The 19203-nt window shown below is 36.0% G+C and overlaps 1 protein-coding gene across 16 annotated transcripts in view; it reads right to left on the minus strand.

The window, feature by feature from the left end:
* The window catches only part of SHOC1 (shortage in chiasmata 1), a 108767-nt gene that overhangs the window by 26146 nt on the left and 63418 nt on the right, over positions 1 to 19203 (minus strand). For 13 of the 16 annotated variants that reach the window (NR_109816.2, XM_017014340.2, NM_001378211.1 and 10 more), the window contains 6 exons: positions 15317 to 15733; positions 11476 to 11595; positions 10093 to 10269; positions 5868 to 5972; positions 2129 to 2307; positions 784 to 856 (listed from right to left, as the gene is read on the minus strand). Coding sequence is in view for 15 of the 16 variants with exons in the window: in XM_017014340.2 (XP_016869829.1) it covers positions 784 to 856; positions 2129 to 2307; positions 5868 to 5972; positions 10093 to 10269; positions 11476 to 11595; positions 15317 to 15733 (1071 nt within the window). In the remaining variant the exon portion in view is untranslated. The remainder of the gene's footprint in view (positions 1 to 783; positions 857 to 2128; positions 2308 to 5867; positions 5973 to 10092; positions 10270 to 11475; positions 11596 to 15316; positions 15734 to 19203) is intronic. The other 3 variants (XM_006716975.3, NM_001378212.1, XM_047422868.1) reach the window with 1 other exon arrangement.

Raw genomic sequence — 19203 nt, forward strand, 5'->3', positions numbered from 1 at the left:
GAAATAACCAGGTGGTTAGTAGATGATAAGTGGTAGAGAATGGTATGGCAATATGGCACAGCCTCAAAGGAGGAGGAATAATGTTTTGAAAATGATAATGGAAGGTAAGAAATGGCTTTCTCATCTCTATGCGGTATATATGTAGAGAAAATTATCAGCTTTTATATGAGAGGAAGTAGTATCATGCGGAGAAAGTTGGGCTTCAGTTAACACAAAGGAGATGAAGAAAGAGCAGAGTTTGCATAACAAGCAATGGATTCTACAGCACCAAGTGGAAAGGGTTGACAGAAGGGGCAGTAGTGGGTAGAAAAGTGTAGTAAGTGAGGAAAACAGACAAGAGAACTGAAGAATTGAGAATTGAAGAATGATACTAAAACGAGAGTCCTAGGTTCAAATCCTGACTCCCTAACTACCTGTGAGATTTGGCATGCTACATCACCTTTAGCATGAACTTTAGTTTCTTTATTTGTAAAACTGAGTTAATAAAACCTATTCATAGAATTGTAAGTAGCTAATATTATTTAGCAACTAGTAGGCAATCAATAAAAGTGTCAATTATTAGTAATAACAAATACATATAAACACCTTGTAGTGTATTTGTACTGCAAACTTATAGTCCAGATTGATTTAAAAGCTGGTTAGATCCCAATGAGTTATACGCTTTCTAAGGGTGAATTTCATGCTATGTTAATTATGTCTTAATTTTAAAAGCTGGTTAGATCAATACACTTTTATAAGTTCAAGCATTTGTTATCAAATGAAGCATAATTTAAAACTGCCTACCTTCTATTTTGTTAAGAATTTTAATGAGAAAATGTTTTTCACCGTCTGAGTCCATTCTTATTATAATCAGTACCTAGTCAAAAATAAAAATTTCATATATATGTGGATGATTATTCTTTTTCACAGTTTTGATACAGTGACAAAATAACAAACTTTAATTGGTTCTATGAAACTAATGACAATAAGATTACAAAGCAAATATTTCTGTTGTAAAAAATGTCAATACTTAAACTCAAGGAATATATTCTGGTAAGATCAAATATCAGTGAAGAAAATATTTTGGGATAGGGCATTCTTAGCATTCTTCAAGTATTCCCACATATGTGACTATCAATACATAGGTTGTCTCTGTTAGTGTTAAATTCAACTCACATGTTTAAATTTGTTGGAGAAAACCCGTGATCTGCTGCTATATTTTGCTACTTACCATTACAGTTTTGTGGGGGAGAGGTGGGAGAGCAAATCAGTTTCGATTTAAAATTTCTCACTTAGATTAAATTATTTTAATGACTTAAGAAAGTTATTACCCAAGAGACTATAAAGTTGCGGTTAAGAAATAGGAGGCACAGAACGAAAAATCAGAAAAAGGCCACAGTTTATATCTGGATTTTTAGTGTAAACTATTTGAAATGCTTTTCTGCTTGATAAGATTTTAAAAAGCAATTTCTGTTAAAACTTCATTAATGCAACCTTTATATGCTTGATGTAGGGTAGGCAAATAATTGTGAATGTAATCCAAGGCATAAACTAAATATTTGTTTTGGTGGAATCATATGAGATTCTGGCTTGGTATTTTAAAATAAATCATTGAGTTCTATTATTATGTATACGTTCATGGACTTATATAAGTACTAGACAAAATTTCTGACAATTGGAGAACCAATCCTTAGGAAAACTATGCATAATAAAAATTAAAGTTTGTTTATTTATTTAGAGACAGGGTCTGGCTCTTTTGCCCAGGCTGGAGTGCAGTGGAACAATCATGGCTCACTGCAGCCTCACCCTCCTGGGCTCAAGAGATCCTCCCACCTCAGTCTCCCTAATAGGTAGAACTACAGGTGCACACCACCACGCCTGGCTAATTTAAAAATTTTTTTTATAGAGACAAGGTCTCACTATGTTGCCCACACTGGTAAAGTATTTTTAAATTTGAGACATGAATAATGATGCAAATCATCCTTTCTATGGGTCTGATTCTGTTCTGTTACCTTATTCAAGGACTAAACCATCAAGGGACTAAGTAGTATAGACTACTTCATAATTTTAAAGTTAAATGCAAAAATGTATCTTACATCCAATTCTTACTTAAACTGATTATTTTACCGGCTTTATTCCAATACTTAACCTTAATTTGCTGTTGACTTTGCATCCAACTTAGTATCTGACATTGCAATTCTTGTATCTTGTAGTTGGTTTCAGGCTTTTTCCCCCTAATAAACTGTACAATCTCCAGCTGTCTCCAAATGTCACCCAAATAGGGGCCTAAAATGCTGTTGTAGATATCTTTTGCCTTCGACAAATATCCTATTGAAGCAAAATTAGAAAAAAATTGTCTAAGTATTTGTTTTTTAAGAAACTCCGTGGTAAAAAAGGCTTAAAGAAAATAAGTCAAAGCAGAGACAGTTAAAATTTCCTTTAATTGTTTTCTGATTTTGATCAAAGACACTAATAAAAACTTTAAAACTGAGTGAAGCTTAAAAATATGTACCACATACTCTTTTTAAGCTGCATATGTACATTAATATATGCTACACACTCTCTAAATACATAACCTATCCTGCCTCCTGGCTTGTTGAATGCTATTGCACTCTTCCTAAATCCCAGGATCTATATTTACATGGAAGTCCTGTTGAACTGCTACTTAAGTGGAATTTTCTTGGTATTTTATCCGTACAACTTTTGTACTTGATATCTGCTTATTTATGTATATCACTTAGCCTATAAGCTCTTTCAGGGTAGAACATGTGGTATTTATACATATTTAATTCATATGGCTGCTAAAACAGCAGTGCCTCATTCAGGCTCACTAAGGGCATTTTTAAACATAGATTCATCCTTGAAGGTTCATATTCAGTACATCTAGATTATGTCCTAATGATTTCTATGTCTAAAAAGCTCTCCGTGTGATTCTGCTGAATTTCACCAGAGTTACCACCAGAGCACCTGGCATGGTAACTTATGTAGATCAGGTGTTTAATGAATATTTGGGTAACAAATGAAATAATAAATTTGGGTAACAAATGAAATAAATTTAAAAAATTTAATGTCTATGTACAAGTTTTATGTATGTGTGCATATTAATTCTATTTTTATATTAAAATTGCTAGACTGATGGGCAACTTAGAGACTGACTTACGTTCTTTCTGCCTCATCTTCAGACCTCCCCCTGATTCTCCATATTGCCATGAGAATTAACCTTTTGAAAAATAAATGTAATCCAGTAGCATCCCTGAAATTCTTTTGTGTAGCTTAAAGGGCTCTCCATGATTTGGCTTTTTCTTATTTCTCCAGGCCTAGCTCCTGCTTGCCTTCTAACTTGTCCTCTTCAATCTAACCACATGGAACTGTTGGCAACATTTCCACTGGTACATTCCTCTGGGCTCTTAATTCTGCCTAGAATAGTCTTTTATACTATATCTACTTGGCAAACTTCTACTTATTTTTTTAAAAACATACCCATCTTAAGGATAATAGTCTCCATCTTTTGTGCCACTACCATATATCTCTGTTGTAATACCTATCACATTCCATAATAAATACTGAATTTATTTCTGGGTTAAAGCCCAGAAGAGAAACGCTATTATTTGAACCTAAAACTCACTACCTTGCCAGCTTGGGAGAGGGAGCAAACTGGAAGCTAGGAGAAAACACAGAATTCTGGCAGCCAGACCTCCGTGGATTTTTTTTTTCCTCTGCCATTATACAGAGAGAAAGAAAGGACAACCTAACTTGATCTTGGCTTTCAAGAGGTATAGAGGAAAGAGAAAGCCCTCTACTAAAAATGTCCAAAGCAACTACATTATTCGTATGGCTGGATACCTGGAGATTAAGAAGTTAGTTTTCCAACAAGAATCTTACTTTTATGGTATTCCTTAAGGTAGATAAATAGTAATGCCAAAGTATGATTTAGTAACTGCATGTCTTAGAGGAACAGAAAGAATTCAGTCCAAGTATAAAGCTCTCAGTGGTCTCACTTAACTAGGGTAAATTATAGACTACACTACTTAAAGATAAATATTGTTTAAGCCAACCTCCATAAATATTATTTCTTTCTTTTCTCCCTTTTTTTTTTTTTTTTTTTTTTTTTTGAGACGGAGTTTCACTCTTTTTGCCCAGGCTGGAGTGCAATGGCGCAATCTTGGCTCACTGCAGCCTGTGCCTCGCGGGTTCAAGTGATCCTTCTGCCTCAGCCTCCTGAGTAGCTGGGACTACAGGTGTGCACCACCACGCCAGGCTAATTTTTGAATTTTTAGTAGAGGCAGGGTTTCACCATGTTGGCCAGGCTGGTTTTGAACTCCTGACCTCAGGTGATCCGCCCACCTCAGCCTCCCAAAGTGCTGGGATTACAGGCGTGAGCCATGGCACCCAGCCCATGAATATTATTTATTTAATCCAAGGCTTTGGTAAGTATTGAGCATACTGTACTTGTCTAGATTATGCACTTGGCCAAGTATTATTACTAAACTACAGCTATCTTTAGAAAGCCCAACATGGTGCTATTCTTTTCTTCTTCAATTAAACCACTTGAATGTTGATACTGGACCAGGTTGTCTTGTCTCCATCCTCAGACAAGTAAGGATTGGGGGCTAAGAACCCTACTTTACAGTACCTAAACAAGCATAAGTGTGTAGTGTCACATGCCCTTTTATTTAGTCACCTGACTTCATTGTGCTTCTCAGCTTCTATAATAGATTGCTAGCTCTACAAACAGTGAGATTGGTTATTACTCATGATATTAAAACAGAATTTCAGAATCTAGAATATCTGAGGTCCCACTGCTTTAGAGGGAGTACATTTATGATTCACTGCTGTTCAATATTTACCAAAACTTTGGATTAGAAAAATAATATTTATGTCTGGATCATAAATAAGAGAAAATGTCTGGGTCTTAGATCAGAGGAAATTTATTTTTACTTTATGTTTGAAATAGGTTCTAGGAACTCTAAATTATAAAACATAATTCCATAAACATACCATTGTTAAACAAGTCTAGGCTGGGTGTGGTGGCTCACACTTGTAATCTCAGCCCTTTGGGAGGCCAAGGCGGGTGGATCACCTGAGGTCAGGAGTTCAACAGCAGCCTGGCCAACGTGGTGAAACCCTGTCTCTACTAAAAATACAAAATTAGCCAGGCATGGTGGCGGGCGCCTGTAATTCCAGCTTCCTGGGGGGCTGAGGCAGGAGAATGGCATGAAGCCAGGAGGCAGAGGTTGCAGGTTGCAGTGAGATCACACCTCTGCACACCTACCTGGGCAACAAAGCAAAACTCTGTCTCAAAAAAAAAAAAAAAAAGTCTAAATAATCTTGCAATAAGGGGCCTAAAGCAGTAATGTAGTAAGACAGACATTTTAATTTGATAGGTTATAAAAAATTCCAAAATCTTAGAAATTCCAATATGTTCAAAATAGTTTGATTTTATTACCCAAGTAATTCATATACTAATATAGACATGACTAAAAAAGAAATTGGAAAAGATCTTACTCCTTATAGTTATATTTTACATAGCAAAGACTCAAAGCCACAAAAATGCAATGAGGACCCAAAATGTTTATGACAAAATGTCAAATCTCACATTAAAAAGTCATGCATGATAATGATTATACAATCAAATCTGCTAGATTAGAGAATCCTAAACCTATTTTTCTAGGTGATGACAGTGTTAAGGACAATTTCTTTTAATGAATACAAGCAGAATAAAATGTATATATTTCATTAGAATTATGTCAAAATGTATGTAATGCTTAGTATAATAGAAAAGAAGGCTACATCATTTCTTATAAGGTGTATCTTTTTCAGAAAAGTAAGTTATTTCAGATGAAATATTTAATAGGAAGAAAAGAGGAAATAAAATATTCCCCACCAACCCAATGCTGTGTCCAAGCTGCATGTTAAAAGGACATCTCTAATTGTTACCAGAAGATGTAAGAGAGCGGCATGCTTGAAAGTCATTTCTCTTTCATCAATTGTACCTAAGTAAGCAAAAATGTATTTTAAAACATAGACTATACATTACAGTTTTAGAATATGTATCAGAATCTGCCTAATAATGGGAGCTAACATTTATTATTGAGTGCTTACTATATGCCAGGCTGTATATAAGCTGGCTATTTCATTGAATCTATAACAACAATCCCATCAGACAAGTTTATTATGATCCAAATTTTATGAATGAGGAAATAGTATTAATGAAGTTAAGTAACTGTCCAAGGTCAGTGAGTGAGTAAATGGTAGAGCTGTCATTTAAACTCAGCTAACCTGAGAATTCATGCCCTTGTTGCTTCCAAAGAATATTCAGCTATTTCTACTGCTATTGGGAAAAAGAGTCAACGCTTCCCAGTTATGAAACAAGAATAAAAATAGATTCATAACTTGCCAACTGATTAAGATAAAAGTAGAGGATCATAACATGAAGAAATACCTTGAAATGGAGGTAGACACCTAGGAATATTTATTCAAAGGTATAACTCAAACAAGAGATAAACTCACAGGGACAGCCTTATTGCCTAATTGTGTTCCATTTAGTTCCAGAGCTTTTTTGGACGATAGACTGGATTTTTCTGCATATAAAAGTGAGACCAAGAAGATGGGATTCTAGACCCCCTGCCCCAATTTAACCAGAGAAGCTCTACTTTTCTTTTTCATATATTGAGATCTCATGAAATTTATTTGAACAAAGAATTCTGCTAAAAAGTTTGCAAATTGATGATCTATTCAATGAAGATCAAGGCAAATATGTAGTAGGGAATTAAGAGGGAAAGCCAATTATGGGTAGTATATTCAGCCCCTAGAAGGACTTGTGGGAACAAGTCAATCATGACCTGCAAGAGATGAGAATAGGGCAGAGAAAACATATTTGGGGAACTGGAAATGTAAAAATGCTTGGAAAATGGAGTACAGACTAGGAAACTAGTGTGGGAAATGGTCTGACTTCTTTTAATCTAGGTTTACTTAATTGTTACTTGTAGGCTTAGTTTTATCTCAACTCTGGGGCCAATGAAAGAATATTAAGTATAACAACTATTCACTTGCTCGGGATTAATGCAATATTGTTCCAACTGGATACCCAAAACCATGTCCCTTTTTTGTCCTCTATTATACTTCATACATAGTTATGCTGTATATTTTATAATAATCATCATTCTGCTCAATGATGTTCAAAACCTTTAGAAGCTCAACCCATATTCAGCTAATTTAAAACCTGAGAATTACAGGACTGAAACTATATCCAGAAGACATGAGTTTTTATTTTATATAAGTCTTGTCTTCTTTCATAAAGGCCAGTTTGCTGACAATTGTTCTTTTCTATCCAGTATAATCATTACCAGAATGCCAGCTCCCCAAAGTGTTGATCTTGATGCCTTTCTGTGGCTCAGGTATTTCAAGTAGTAAACTATGGATTAACACCTTCCTCTCAGATCAGGTATTCTATCTCAGTACTACTACTGTGACCTCGCGGTTTTGGTGACTAAAATGTTGCTCCCCTCAAAGACTGGGCACTCTACATGGAAGAAGATGAGATTCAACTTGTTTTTCATTTGTAAAAGAGAGTTAACCTTTAAAAAATATATAGGACATCTAAGTTTAATGAATTTAGAAAACAGACTTTAAAAATAAATTAAGTAGATTCCAGGTAAGATGGAGTAAGTACACTCCACCCTGTCTCTTCCACTGAATACAACTATAAACACAAAACAGAATACATGAAACAGCTATCTGAAAACTCTAAAAGGTAAATGGTAGCAAGTGGACTGGGGAAGGAGACCAGATTTCAAAATGCCACCAAACAAGTGGTGAGTTTCCTATTTTTTCCGCTTCTTGTATTTACTGGCTTAGACTAAAACAGCCCAAGGCCCAGAAGTGATTACCACCATGTGGACAGAAAGAGCTCTAAGAGAAGTCCTCATTTTGTCTAATATAGAAAACTAGGTTGATGTGTTTTGCTTTCAGCATTTTCAAAATGTTACTCATTGTCTTTGCATTTATATTATTTATGTCAAAAAATCTCATGTCACCCTTATCTTTGTTTCCTGCATGTGGCATGTCTTTTTGTTCCTCTGGCTCCTCCTACAGTTCTCTTTTTATTATTGGCTTTGAGTAATTTGATTATGTGGACCTTCTTTGTGTCTCTTGTACTAAGTGTTCATTGAGATTTTTGCATCTGTGGGTTTGTAGTTTTCATTAAGTTTAGAAAGATTTGTCATTATTTCTTCAAATATTTTTTCCATTTACTCTCTTTTCTCCTCTCTTTTGAGAATGCTAATTACAGTATGTTAGGCTACTTTAAGTTGTTCCACAGCCTACTGATGCCTTCTTTTATTTCTTTTTCATTCTTTCATGCTTTACAGTTTTTGCAGAGTGATTGTTTCTATTACTGTGCTTTCAAGTTAACTTTTTCTTCTGCAATATTTAATCTGCCATTAATTGCATCCACTATATTTTTCATCTCATGCATTGCAGTTTAGTCTCTAGAAGTTTGATCTAGGTCTTTTTAAATGTCTCTAACTTTTCAAACATACAGAAAACAGTAATAAGAAGTGTCAGCGTCCTTTTCTGGTCATTCTAATATCTTTGTTGATTCTGGGTTTGTTTTGATTTATTATTCTCATTATGGATTGTACTCTCCTGCCTCTTTGTATACTTCATGATCTTATTGGATGCCAGACATTGTGACTGTTACCTTGTTGGGTATTCTTGTATTCATATCAATCCTCTTGTGCTTTATGATGGGATGCAACTAAGTTCCTTGGAGATAGTTTGATCCTTGGGGTATTGCTTTGTGATTTGTTAGGCAGGTTCACAGCAGTGCTAAGTCTAGGGATAATTATCCCCCACTACTGAGGCAAGATTTTTCTGAGTATTCTCCTTAATCCTCTATGAATTACGAGTTTTTCTAGTCTAGCTGGTGGGAACAGCCACTATTCCTGCCCTGTGTGAATGCAGCATAGTAGTCCCTCTAGTCCTTTCAGATGGTTTGTTTCTCCAACTCCAGGTAGTTTCCTCACATATATTCTTTGTTTGTTTGTTTTTGTTTTTGTTTTGAGACGAAGTCTCACTCTGTTACCCAGGCTGGAATGCAGTGGTGTGATCTCAGCTCACTGCAACCTCTGCCTCCCAGGTTCAAGCGATTCTCCTGCCTCAGCCTCCCAAATAGCCAGGATTACAGGTGCCCGCCACCACACCAGGCTAATTATTGCATTTTTAGTAGAGATGGGGTTTCACCATGTTGGCTAGGCTGGTCTCGAACTCCTGACCTCAGATGATCCACCCGCCTTGGCCTCCCAAAGTGCTGGGATTACAGGCATGAGTCACTGCACCTGGCCACCTCACATATATTCTTTGATCAATCATCTGCTGAATACTCGAGGGAGAGGCTCTGCACAATTCTATACTCTCTGTGCGAAGCTCTCTGCTCTCTAACATTCTATTTTGAACTCTTATCTGTCTTGGTCTCCCTGGACTCTTACCTCCTGTTTCCTCAACTTAAATTGTCTACCAGGCTCTGCCTCAGGTAACTCTCCCTACACCACAGCCTGCCAATTCTTTCAAGGCAGTTAGCTAGGGTAATGGTAGGGCTCATTTCACTCATTTCCTCTCTCTCAGGAACCACTGTTCTTCATTGCCTGATGTCCAGGGTCTTAAAAACTGGTTTAATGTATTTTATCTTTGTCTTTTTTGTTGTTATTTCTGGTAGGAGGGTAAATCTAGTCCCTGTTACTCCATCTTGGCAGAAATAAAAAGTCTAGGATTGACTTTAATTAATCTAGTTTTTGACCTCCTTTTTTGGGAGGAGACTGAGTGGTTCATATGCTGACAATAATAAAGTTAATTTAATTTCTGCAATAGGAATCTGTCAAGTAATATATGTCAATTAGGAGCTTCACTGAGAAGTAATGCCAGGTGATATTTCTTACCTTTTTCTCTACTTAGCTGATCCTCCAGTATTGGTTTGGCTGGGTATCACAAGCTGAATTACAGTCATGCCACCATCTATGGCTAATTTCTGAATCTTCTATACCCAATTTTTACTAATTTGATACAATAATTTCTAAGCATATCTTTTTAAATAACGTGACTTTTATTTGTACTCACCTTGGCGAACAGCATCACTTACTACTTTTTCTTGTTCCTTTAAGAGAAACCTTGTTTGGTCAAAAATAACAGTGGCAAATTTCCAATTAGCAGTAGGGAGGGTACACAAGGATACAAGGTTTTTTAAGATAGGAGAAGCTGCTGCTTCGAGGAGGCAAAATGCTTGGCACTGGCTATCTGCAAAAATAAAAGCATTAATGGCAGTGTTTTAATAAAGATGGTATGCTCTTTTTGATGAACCAATTAAATGTTATTTCGTGGAGATCCGAACTTCTATCTGAATTATTTTCTGAGTTAAAAATAATGAGATTGTATAAAAACTTATTTTAAGATATTTATTCTAAATAAACTAATAAAAACAAACATGGAATTATATAATTTTATGGCTATATTATTTATTTATTTATTCATTGAGACAGAGTCTTGCTCTGTTGCCAGGCTGGAGTGTAGTGGCGCCATCTCGGCTCACTGCAACCTCCGTCTCCCGGATTCAAGCTATTCTCCTGCCTCAGCCTCCTGAGTAGCTGGGACTATAGGCGTGCACCACCACGCCCAGCTAATTTTTGTTTCATCATCTTGTCCAGGATGGTCTCGATCTCTTGACCTCATGATCCGCCCACCTCGGCCTCCCAAAGTGCTGGAATTACAGGTGTGAGCCACCGCGCCTGGCCTATATTATTTATTAGAGAGGATTTATTCCATAATTAACTTGACATGGCAAATATAAAGACCCATATAACATGAACTGCATTTTTTTCTTTGCCATTCTCCACTGTTAGCATATGATCTTAAGCCAAACAATGAAAAATTTTTTCCAGTTATCACTAGAATAACATTATTTAAAGATTTGCATAATCATCTAGAGACCAAAAGAATGAAAAGATACTTGAGAACCTGGGTCATATTTCCTTACTGATTTTAATAATGAATCTGATGTTCTTAAGCAGGTTGTTCTTTAGGAGTCAAAGAATACTCTTCTTTATAGCATAACAAAAAAATCAATATAGGAATCAATAGAAACTTATTTACATCACTCTGATAGCAGGTAAGAGAACAGAGAGAGCATGATTAGCAGTTCATTTTCCAGACTGGGCAGAAGAGTCCGAGGAGGTACAGTTGTTCTCAGATTGATATAGGGAAGCAGCAGCAGTTTAAATGAAAGAAGAAATAACACTGAGTCGCTTGGGTAGGGCAATGGGGAGAGGCAGGGGTAGTGAACAGGGCATTCCAGATTGGGATATAACTTGAAAGTAGGAGTGGAATGAAGAAATATCTGAAACAAGTGAAGAAAATGACATGGAAAATGAGGTATGTCCTAGCTATCTAGGAAAGGACTTTCAAACTAAGCAAATCTGAAATGCATTTTAAAAGCATATAACATACCTGACGCTTGAATTTCAATGACACTATCTGTTCCCCTTTCCTGATTTATTTCCTCCAGGGTTTTATTAATATGAACAATAGGACTTTCTTCTTGAAGTGTCAAAGAACATGCTTCTTTATCTTGAAATTCCAATAAAAAATATAAATTTTTGTTGTTCAAGAGAAACTTAATGTTGTTTTACCTTAATTTTTTTTCTAAAATATGATCACAGTTGTTAAATTTCTTCATTGAAACACATCAGTATTAAAGTGAACAACTATTCAGATCAATGGAACTAACACTGCTAGGTAGGAAGATGAATGGTAAAAATGGAAAAACCTTTGGTATCAGATCAGTATTTTGAACTCAGTTCTGACTCAGTTTCCTCATATGTAAAATATGGATAAATATATCTGCTTTAAACACCAAGTACAGCTTCTGACACAGAAAGTATGTACCGTTCTACTTAATTTCTCTGTGACTTTCCACATACCCTTTCTTCTACTACTAACCCTCTCCTCTGTCCCAAACCTTCCCTATTTCCATCTTTTTTTAACCAGGCAATTCTTTTTCTTTTCTTTTTTTTAAGACAGTGTCTCCCTCTGTCACCCAGGCTGGAATGCATTGGTATGATCAGGGCTCACTGCAGCCTTGACCTCTTGGGCTCAAGCAATCCTCCCACCTCAGCCTCCCAAGTAGCTGGGAGCACAGGCATGCACCACCATCCTGGGCTAATTTATTTTTTAAATTTATTATTATTATTATTTTGGTAGAGATAGGGTCTCCCTGTGTTGTCCAGGCTGGTCTCAAACTCCTGGGCTCAAGGGATCTGCCTACCCAAAGTGCTGGGATTACAGGCATGAGCTACCATGCCTGACCTGGGCCTAGTCTTACTGCTGCACCCTGCAGGTCTCAGGCATCTTCTAAAAAAAGTCATATATAACTGCCCACCCTACTTCCAGGCCAGCAAAGGGCTCCTCCTTTTGTTTCTTCAGCATTCTGTGAAGACTTCTTTACTGGTACTTGCCACATTGAATTGAAATGATCTATCTGCATATCTGACCTACTTTATTATACTGTGAGCTTCTCAAGGTCAGCAACAGCATCATATTTATCTCTAATATGTAATTTAGTGCCAGGCACAAAGTATCTAATAAATGTTAGTTTTTTTTTCTGTCCTAGGTATTACAGAGGATTTCTTCTTTCCTAAGTATTATAGAGGATTTACACACAAACACAGATATACATAAAAATCTAGTTATTTTAACCATATAGTAGTATTATCCATCAGTAATATGATTACAAAATAATTCCAGAAACACATTACCATCTTTACATACATGGTTAAAAATATAATAATGGACTATATTCTAAACTAGATTAAAATGCTATTTTCAAGTAATACTTTCAATTAACCATAACTAATTAGAATAGATATGATCAAATAATATTAATTATTAAAATTTTTGAGGGGGTCTAAGAATTTATAGTATTTCTTGCCTCTGAGTTAAGTGTAAAATAAGACAAAAAGTAAAATATACACCAAAATATTAAGGCAGGGTCTCCCTCTGTCACCCAGGCTGGAGTGCATTGGTATGATCTATTAAAGGCTAAGTTGGGGAATAGAATTTAGTTTGAGAGTCAAATGAGCTTGCTAACTAAACACCAGAATTAGACAGAGTTACCCACCCAGTCCTAGGGTATGCTGGACTGGGATAGGATACCCCACTGGGTCCAGGGAGGGCGGGGGAGGTCAGGGGCACTGCCCAGAAAAGAGTCATGACATAGAAAAACCAAGGAGAATTCCTGTTCTTCTTGGGCAACCATTCCCACAGCTTATGTCCAATTTATTATTTTGACTTACAATTCAGATCATTCTTTCCATCCCCTCTGGAGAGATGTATAAAAAGGCAAAGAGGCCAGGAACTTAACACTTAATTGAGGAAACATCAGGAGTACAGAAGCATTCCCTCATAACATTAATGTTCTTTTAATTGTTTAGTAAATGAATGGCTAATTTTTTAAATAAGAAAAGATAAAATAATATTTAAAGATTTCAGAATTTTGTGATCTTTTCAATTTTTATTCTTTTTTACATTTCCTCATTTCTTGCTGCTTTCCCTCACTTTCTGTTGATAATATACCCTATCATAAGCCATTATCACCACTATGGCAACCAGAAGATGTCAGTGTTAATTTTGGGGTGGATTCCTTTTTTGTACCAAATATAAATAGAATCAGAAAACATGAAGAAATCTGAGAATAACAAATCTTTGAAAAATTCTTATTTTTGTATCACATTTATAAAATAATTATTTATATTTTGCTTATTTTTATGCAGAAGCGATGCTTGAATTATGGTCCAAATATTGGTTAGAAAAAGCTCAGTTACATACAGAATCTGGTAAGGTAAGTTATAAGGTGGCCAAACTATTACATAAAAAGTAACTTTAAGTTGAATATGTAGAAATAGAAAAGATCACAAAATTCTGAAATCTTTAAATATTATTCTGCATTTTTACCATGAGAAATGCACTGATTGACACAGTAATATTACTTTTTAAAAAAATGACAGCTCACCATAACCTCAAACTCCTGGGCTAAGGCATCTGCCCACCTCAGCCTCCTGAGTAGCTGAGATCACATGTGTGTGCCACCACACTTGGCTAATTTTAGAGATGCGGTCTCATTATGTTGCTCAGGCTGGTCTCAAACTCTTGGCCTCAAACAATCCTCCTGCCTCGGCCTTCCAAAGTTCTGGGATTAGAGGTGTGAGCCACCATGCCCAGCCCCAGTAATATTACTTTAAGCAGATTTATAAAAGGCTGTCACATCTTTTGGAAAAATAAATATACCCATCATGACATTAAGAACTGAAGATCTTGTGTCTATTAATAGTATATGAGACAGTAAGACCTAACTGTCTCTAAGTCACATAAATATTTTTGTATTCTTTAACTGTGAAATGCGGTAATACTACCTACTTTGATTCCTCAACAATGTTTCTAAACAGATCAAAAATGACAATAGATGTAAAAGTGCTTTATAAAGCATAAAGATACCTGTATTTATGATAATATTATTAACCTTATGAAGAAAGAAAGAATAGGATTTATCAAACAAATTGATCATTAGAAAATATTTCTGGTGTTTCTGAATGTAACAATATATAAATATCAAAAGTTTCCAATATCCCTAGTCATTAGGTTGCATCAATGTGTACTGGATTTTAGGAATAAACAATAGCAGCCAATAAAAAAAAATATTGTTGTATTTATTTCATCAGGGTAACCTATGTCAAACTTATTCTGGAATGCCTATTTTATTTTTATGAGAAGTAAAATGATATGACACATTATATTACCTTTGATGTGGCTGTAAGCAGTGAATATAAGACAGTTACAACTCAAACAGAAACTGTTAGGTAATGTTAGAAAGAAACAATTAAGTAGACAGAAAGTTTTCTTTCAAGTACACATAAAAATATAATTTAAAATACTGAGACAGGACTGACAGCTAAAAGAGAAAAAAGAATGCAGAATTGACCAACAAAAGTTAGAGATACTATGAATTTGTAAGGCCATGTTGTAGAAAGCAAGTTTTACAAATAGTGGCTTTTGTTATAAATTCAAATGCATTTTTAGACTTTTTGAAACATATGTATCTGTATCTAAATCATGCCTATATATCCATATCTATCTGTAAACAAGAAGTTATCAAGAATCAATGACATTTTCCTTGACTACAAAAAATAACATAATTTTATCTAGAAGAACTTTATCTCCTTGCCTTCTATAATAAATTATGTACTTAGTCCTTGAGCCTACCATATCTACGGCAAAATATTATTAAATTACTTACCATGTTTTTCATCACTGTTTGTGACTTCAGTCTTTGAGGTGCAAGTCTTATATTTATTTCGCAGCATAATAAAGTCGCTCAAAAGGTCCAAATCATTCTCTTGTTTTTTGCCATGTTCAAAAGATGCTTTTTTAATTATTGAAGAGGAAGGTGATTTAATAGATGGTCCTGTGCAGTCAAGTTCAAAGTGATCGTTATTTTCTTTCTTTTGGATTATTCTGTTTACTGGTTCTTGGTCATTCTTTGGTTTTTCTTCTTTTGCTGCTCCTTTATCAGAGAAATAGTCATCAGAAAAACATAGATCTGGTACTTCTTTTGCCAGAGATGGACTCTTTTGTGGAAGTGATAAATGAGCATTTGTAGATTTTTCATCAATAAGTGCAATAGGTGAAGAATGACTTTTATGTTCTAGACATGCTGAAAACAGAAAATAACAACACACAAGTAACTTCCACACCTAAACGAGTGTTCTATTAGGTATTTGAATAACTTTTAGTTGTGGTTTCTTATTAATGTAATTTGATCTTTATGAGCACTTTGTTTACTGCTTTGAAAATCAATTTTTGGTCTGAATAAAATAAATTTTTAAAAAGGATCAAAATTTAGCACCCTTCTTCTTACTATAGGAGCTAGTTTACCAAGCAAAGAAGACATTCCAGTAAAGCCCTTTTGCTCATAGGCTTATGAATCATACCCTTGCAGGTAACAGTTACTCCATGGGTCAAACACTTACCTACCAGGAAAGCCACAATGGAAAAAAATACTTGCAATACATATAACTGACAAAGGACTGTATCCAAAATATATAAAGAACTCCTTATAACTCTATATTTGAAAAGGAACCCAATTAAAAATTTGGCAAAAGACTTGAACAATAGTTCACATAAGATATGCATATTCTACAAAATAGACGAATCTTGAAAACATGCTAAGTGAAAGAAGTGTCACAAAAGGCCACATATTGTATGATTCCATTTATATAAAATGTCCAGAAAAGGCAAATCTATAGAGAAAGAACAGTGGTTCCAGAGCTGAGTAAAATGGGGAGTGACCACTAATGGGTACAGGATTTCTTTTGGGGATGGTACAAGTTTTCTAAAATGGTTTGTGGTGATGATTGCACAACTCTGGGCTTATATTAAAAACCATGGAATGGTTTACTTTAAATGAGTCAATTGTATGGTATGTGAAATGTATCTTGATAAAGCTGTTACAGGAATACCTCAGAGATATTGTGGGTTCAGTTCTCGACCATCACAATAAAGTAAATATGTTAAGGTGAGTCACACAAATGTTTTGATTTCCCAGTACAAATGTAAAAGTTATGTTTATGCTATACTGCAGTGTATTGTGTACAATAGCATTATGTCTAAACAAACAAGTACATACTTTAATTTTAAAATACTTTATTGCCAAAAAATGCTAATGATCATCTGAGCCTTTACTAAGTCATAAACTTTTTGCAAAGGTGGGGGGTTCTTTTTTCTTTTTTTTTCTTTTTGAGACATGGTCCTCCTCTGTAGCCCAGGCTGGAATGCAGTGCCACAATCATAGCTCACTGCAACCTCCAACTCCTGGGCCCAAGCAGTCCTCCCACCAGCTGAGACTACAGGTGCGTACCACCATGCCAGGCTTTTATTTTTATTTTTATTTTTAGGAGAGACAAAGTTTTGCTATGTTGCCCAGGCTGATCTTGAACTCTTGGGCTCAAGTAATCCTCCCACATTGGCCTCCCAAGTGCTGGAATTACAGGTGAAAGCCACTGTGCCCGGCTAGGGGGTCTTGTCTCAATGTTGACAGCTGCTGACTGTCAGAGTGGTGGTTGCTAAAGGTTGGTGTGGCTGTGGAAATTTCTTAAACTAAGACAACAATGAAGTTTGCCACACTGACTGACTTTTCTTTTCACGAAAGATTTTTCTGTAGCATGTGCTGTTTGACAGCATTTACCCAGAGTAGAACTTCTTTCAAAATTGGAGTCAAGGTCAGGAGCGTGGCTCATGCCTATAATCCCAGCACTTTGGGAAGGCCGAGGCAGGCGGATCATGAGGTCAAGAGATCGAGACCATCCTGGCCAACATGGTGAAACCCATCTCTACTAAAAATACAAAAATTAGCTGGGCATGGTGGCGCATGCCTGTAGTCCCAGCTACTCAGGAGGCTGAGGCAGGAGAATCGCTTGAACCTGAGAGGCGGAGGGTACAGTGAGCCAAGATCATGCTACTGCACTTCAGCCTGGTGAGAGTGAGACTTGGTCTCAAAAAAAAAAAAAAATTGGAGTCAATCCTCTCCAACCCTGCCACTACTTTATCAACTATGTTTATGGAATATTCCAAATCCTTTGTTGTCATTACAACAATGTTCACAGAATCTTCACCAGGGACAGATTCTATCTCAAGAAACCATTTTCTTTGCCCATCCATAAGAAACAACTCCTCATTTGTTCAAGTTTTGGCATGAGATTGCAGCAATTCAACCACACCTTCAGGCTCCACTTCTAATTCTAGTTTTCTTGCTATTTCTACCACATCTGTAGTTACATACTTGCACCACTAAAGTCTTGAACCCTTCAAAATCATCCATGAAGGTTCAAATCAACTTTTTTCTATCTTGCTAATGTTGATATTTTGGCCTCCTCCCAAGAATAAGGAATGTTCTTAATGGCATCTAGAATGGTGAATCCTTTCTCAAAAGTATTTCAATTGACTTTGACTAGATCCATCAGAGGAATCACTATCTATGGCAGCTCTGGCCTTATGAAATGTATTTCTTAAATAATAACACTAGAAAGTAGAAATGACTCCTTGATCCATGGGCTGCAGAATGGATGTTGTGTTAGCAGACATGAAAACAACATTAATCTTCTTGTATATCTCCATCAGAGCTCTTGAATGACCAGGTATGCTGTCAATGAGCAGTAATATTTTGAAAGGAATCTTTTTTTCTGAGTAGTAGGTCTCAACAGTGGCCTTAAAATATTGTAAGCCATGCTGTAAACAGATGTGCTATCATTCTGGCTTTGTTGTTCCATTTATAGAGCACAGAAAGTGTAGACTTATCATAATTCTTAAGGGCCTTAGGATTTTCAGAATGGTAAATGAGCTTTGGCTTCAACAGTCAACAGCTGCATTAGCCCCTAATAGGAGTGTCAGCCTGCCCTTTGAAGCTCTGAAGCCAGACATTGACTGCTTCCTACTGGCTATAAAAGTCCTAGATAACACTTTCTTCAAATAGAACGCTGTTTCATCTACATTGAATATCTGTTGTTTAGTGTAGCCATCTTCATCAATAATATTGGCCAGATCTTCAGGATAACTTGCTGCAGCTTCTACATTTGCACTTGTTGCTTCACCTTGTACTTTTATGTTACGGAGATGACTTTTTTCCTTAAACTTCATGAACCAATCTCTGTTAGCTTCAAACTTCTGTAGCTCCTTACCTTTCTCAGCCTTCATAGAATCAAAAGGAGTTAGAGCCTTGCATTGTACTGGGCTTTGGCTTAAGGGAATATTGTGGCTGGTTTGATCTATCTAGACCACTCAAACCCTCTCCATATTAGCAATAAGACTATTTAACTTTCTTATCATTTGTGTGTTCACTAAAGTAGCACTTTTAATTTCCTTCAGGAATTTTTCCTTTGCATTCACAACTTGGCAACTGGCCAAAAGCAAGAGACCTAGCTTTTGGCCTAGGTCAGTTCTCAACATACCATTCTCATTTAATCATTTCTAGCCTTTGATTTAAAGTGAGAGTTGTGCAACTCCTCCTTTCACTTGAAGACTTACAGGCCACTGTAGGGTTATTAATTGGCCTAATTTTAGTACCGTTGTGTCTCGACAGACATAGAGTGGGCCAAGGAAAGGGAGAGAGATAAGGGAACAGCTGGTTAG

This window comes from Homo sapiens, chromosome 9 (genome assembly GCF_000001405.40).
Source record: "Homo sapiens chromosome 9, GRCh38.p14 Primary Assembly".
NCBI lineage: Eukaryota > Metazoa > Chordata > Mammalia > Primates > Hominidae > Homo > Homo sapiens.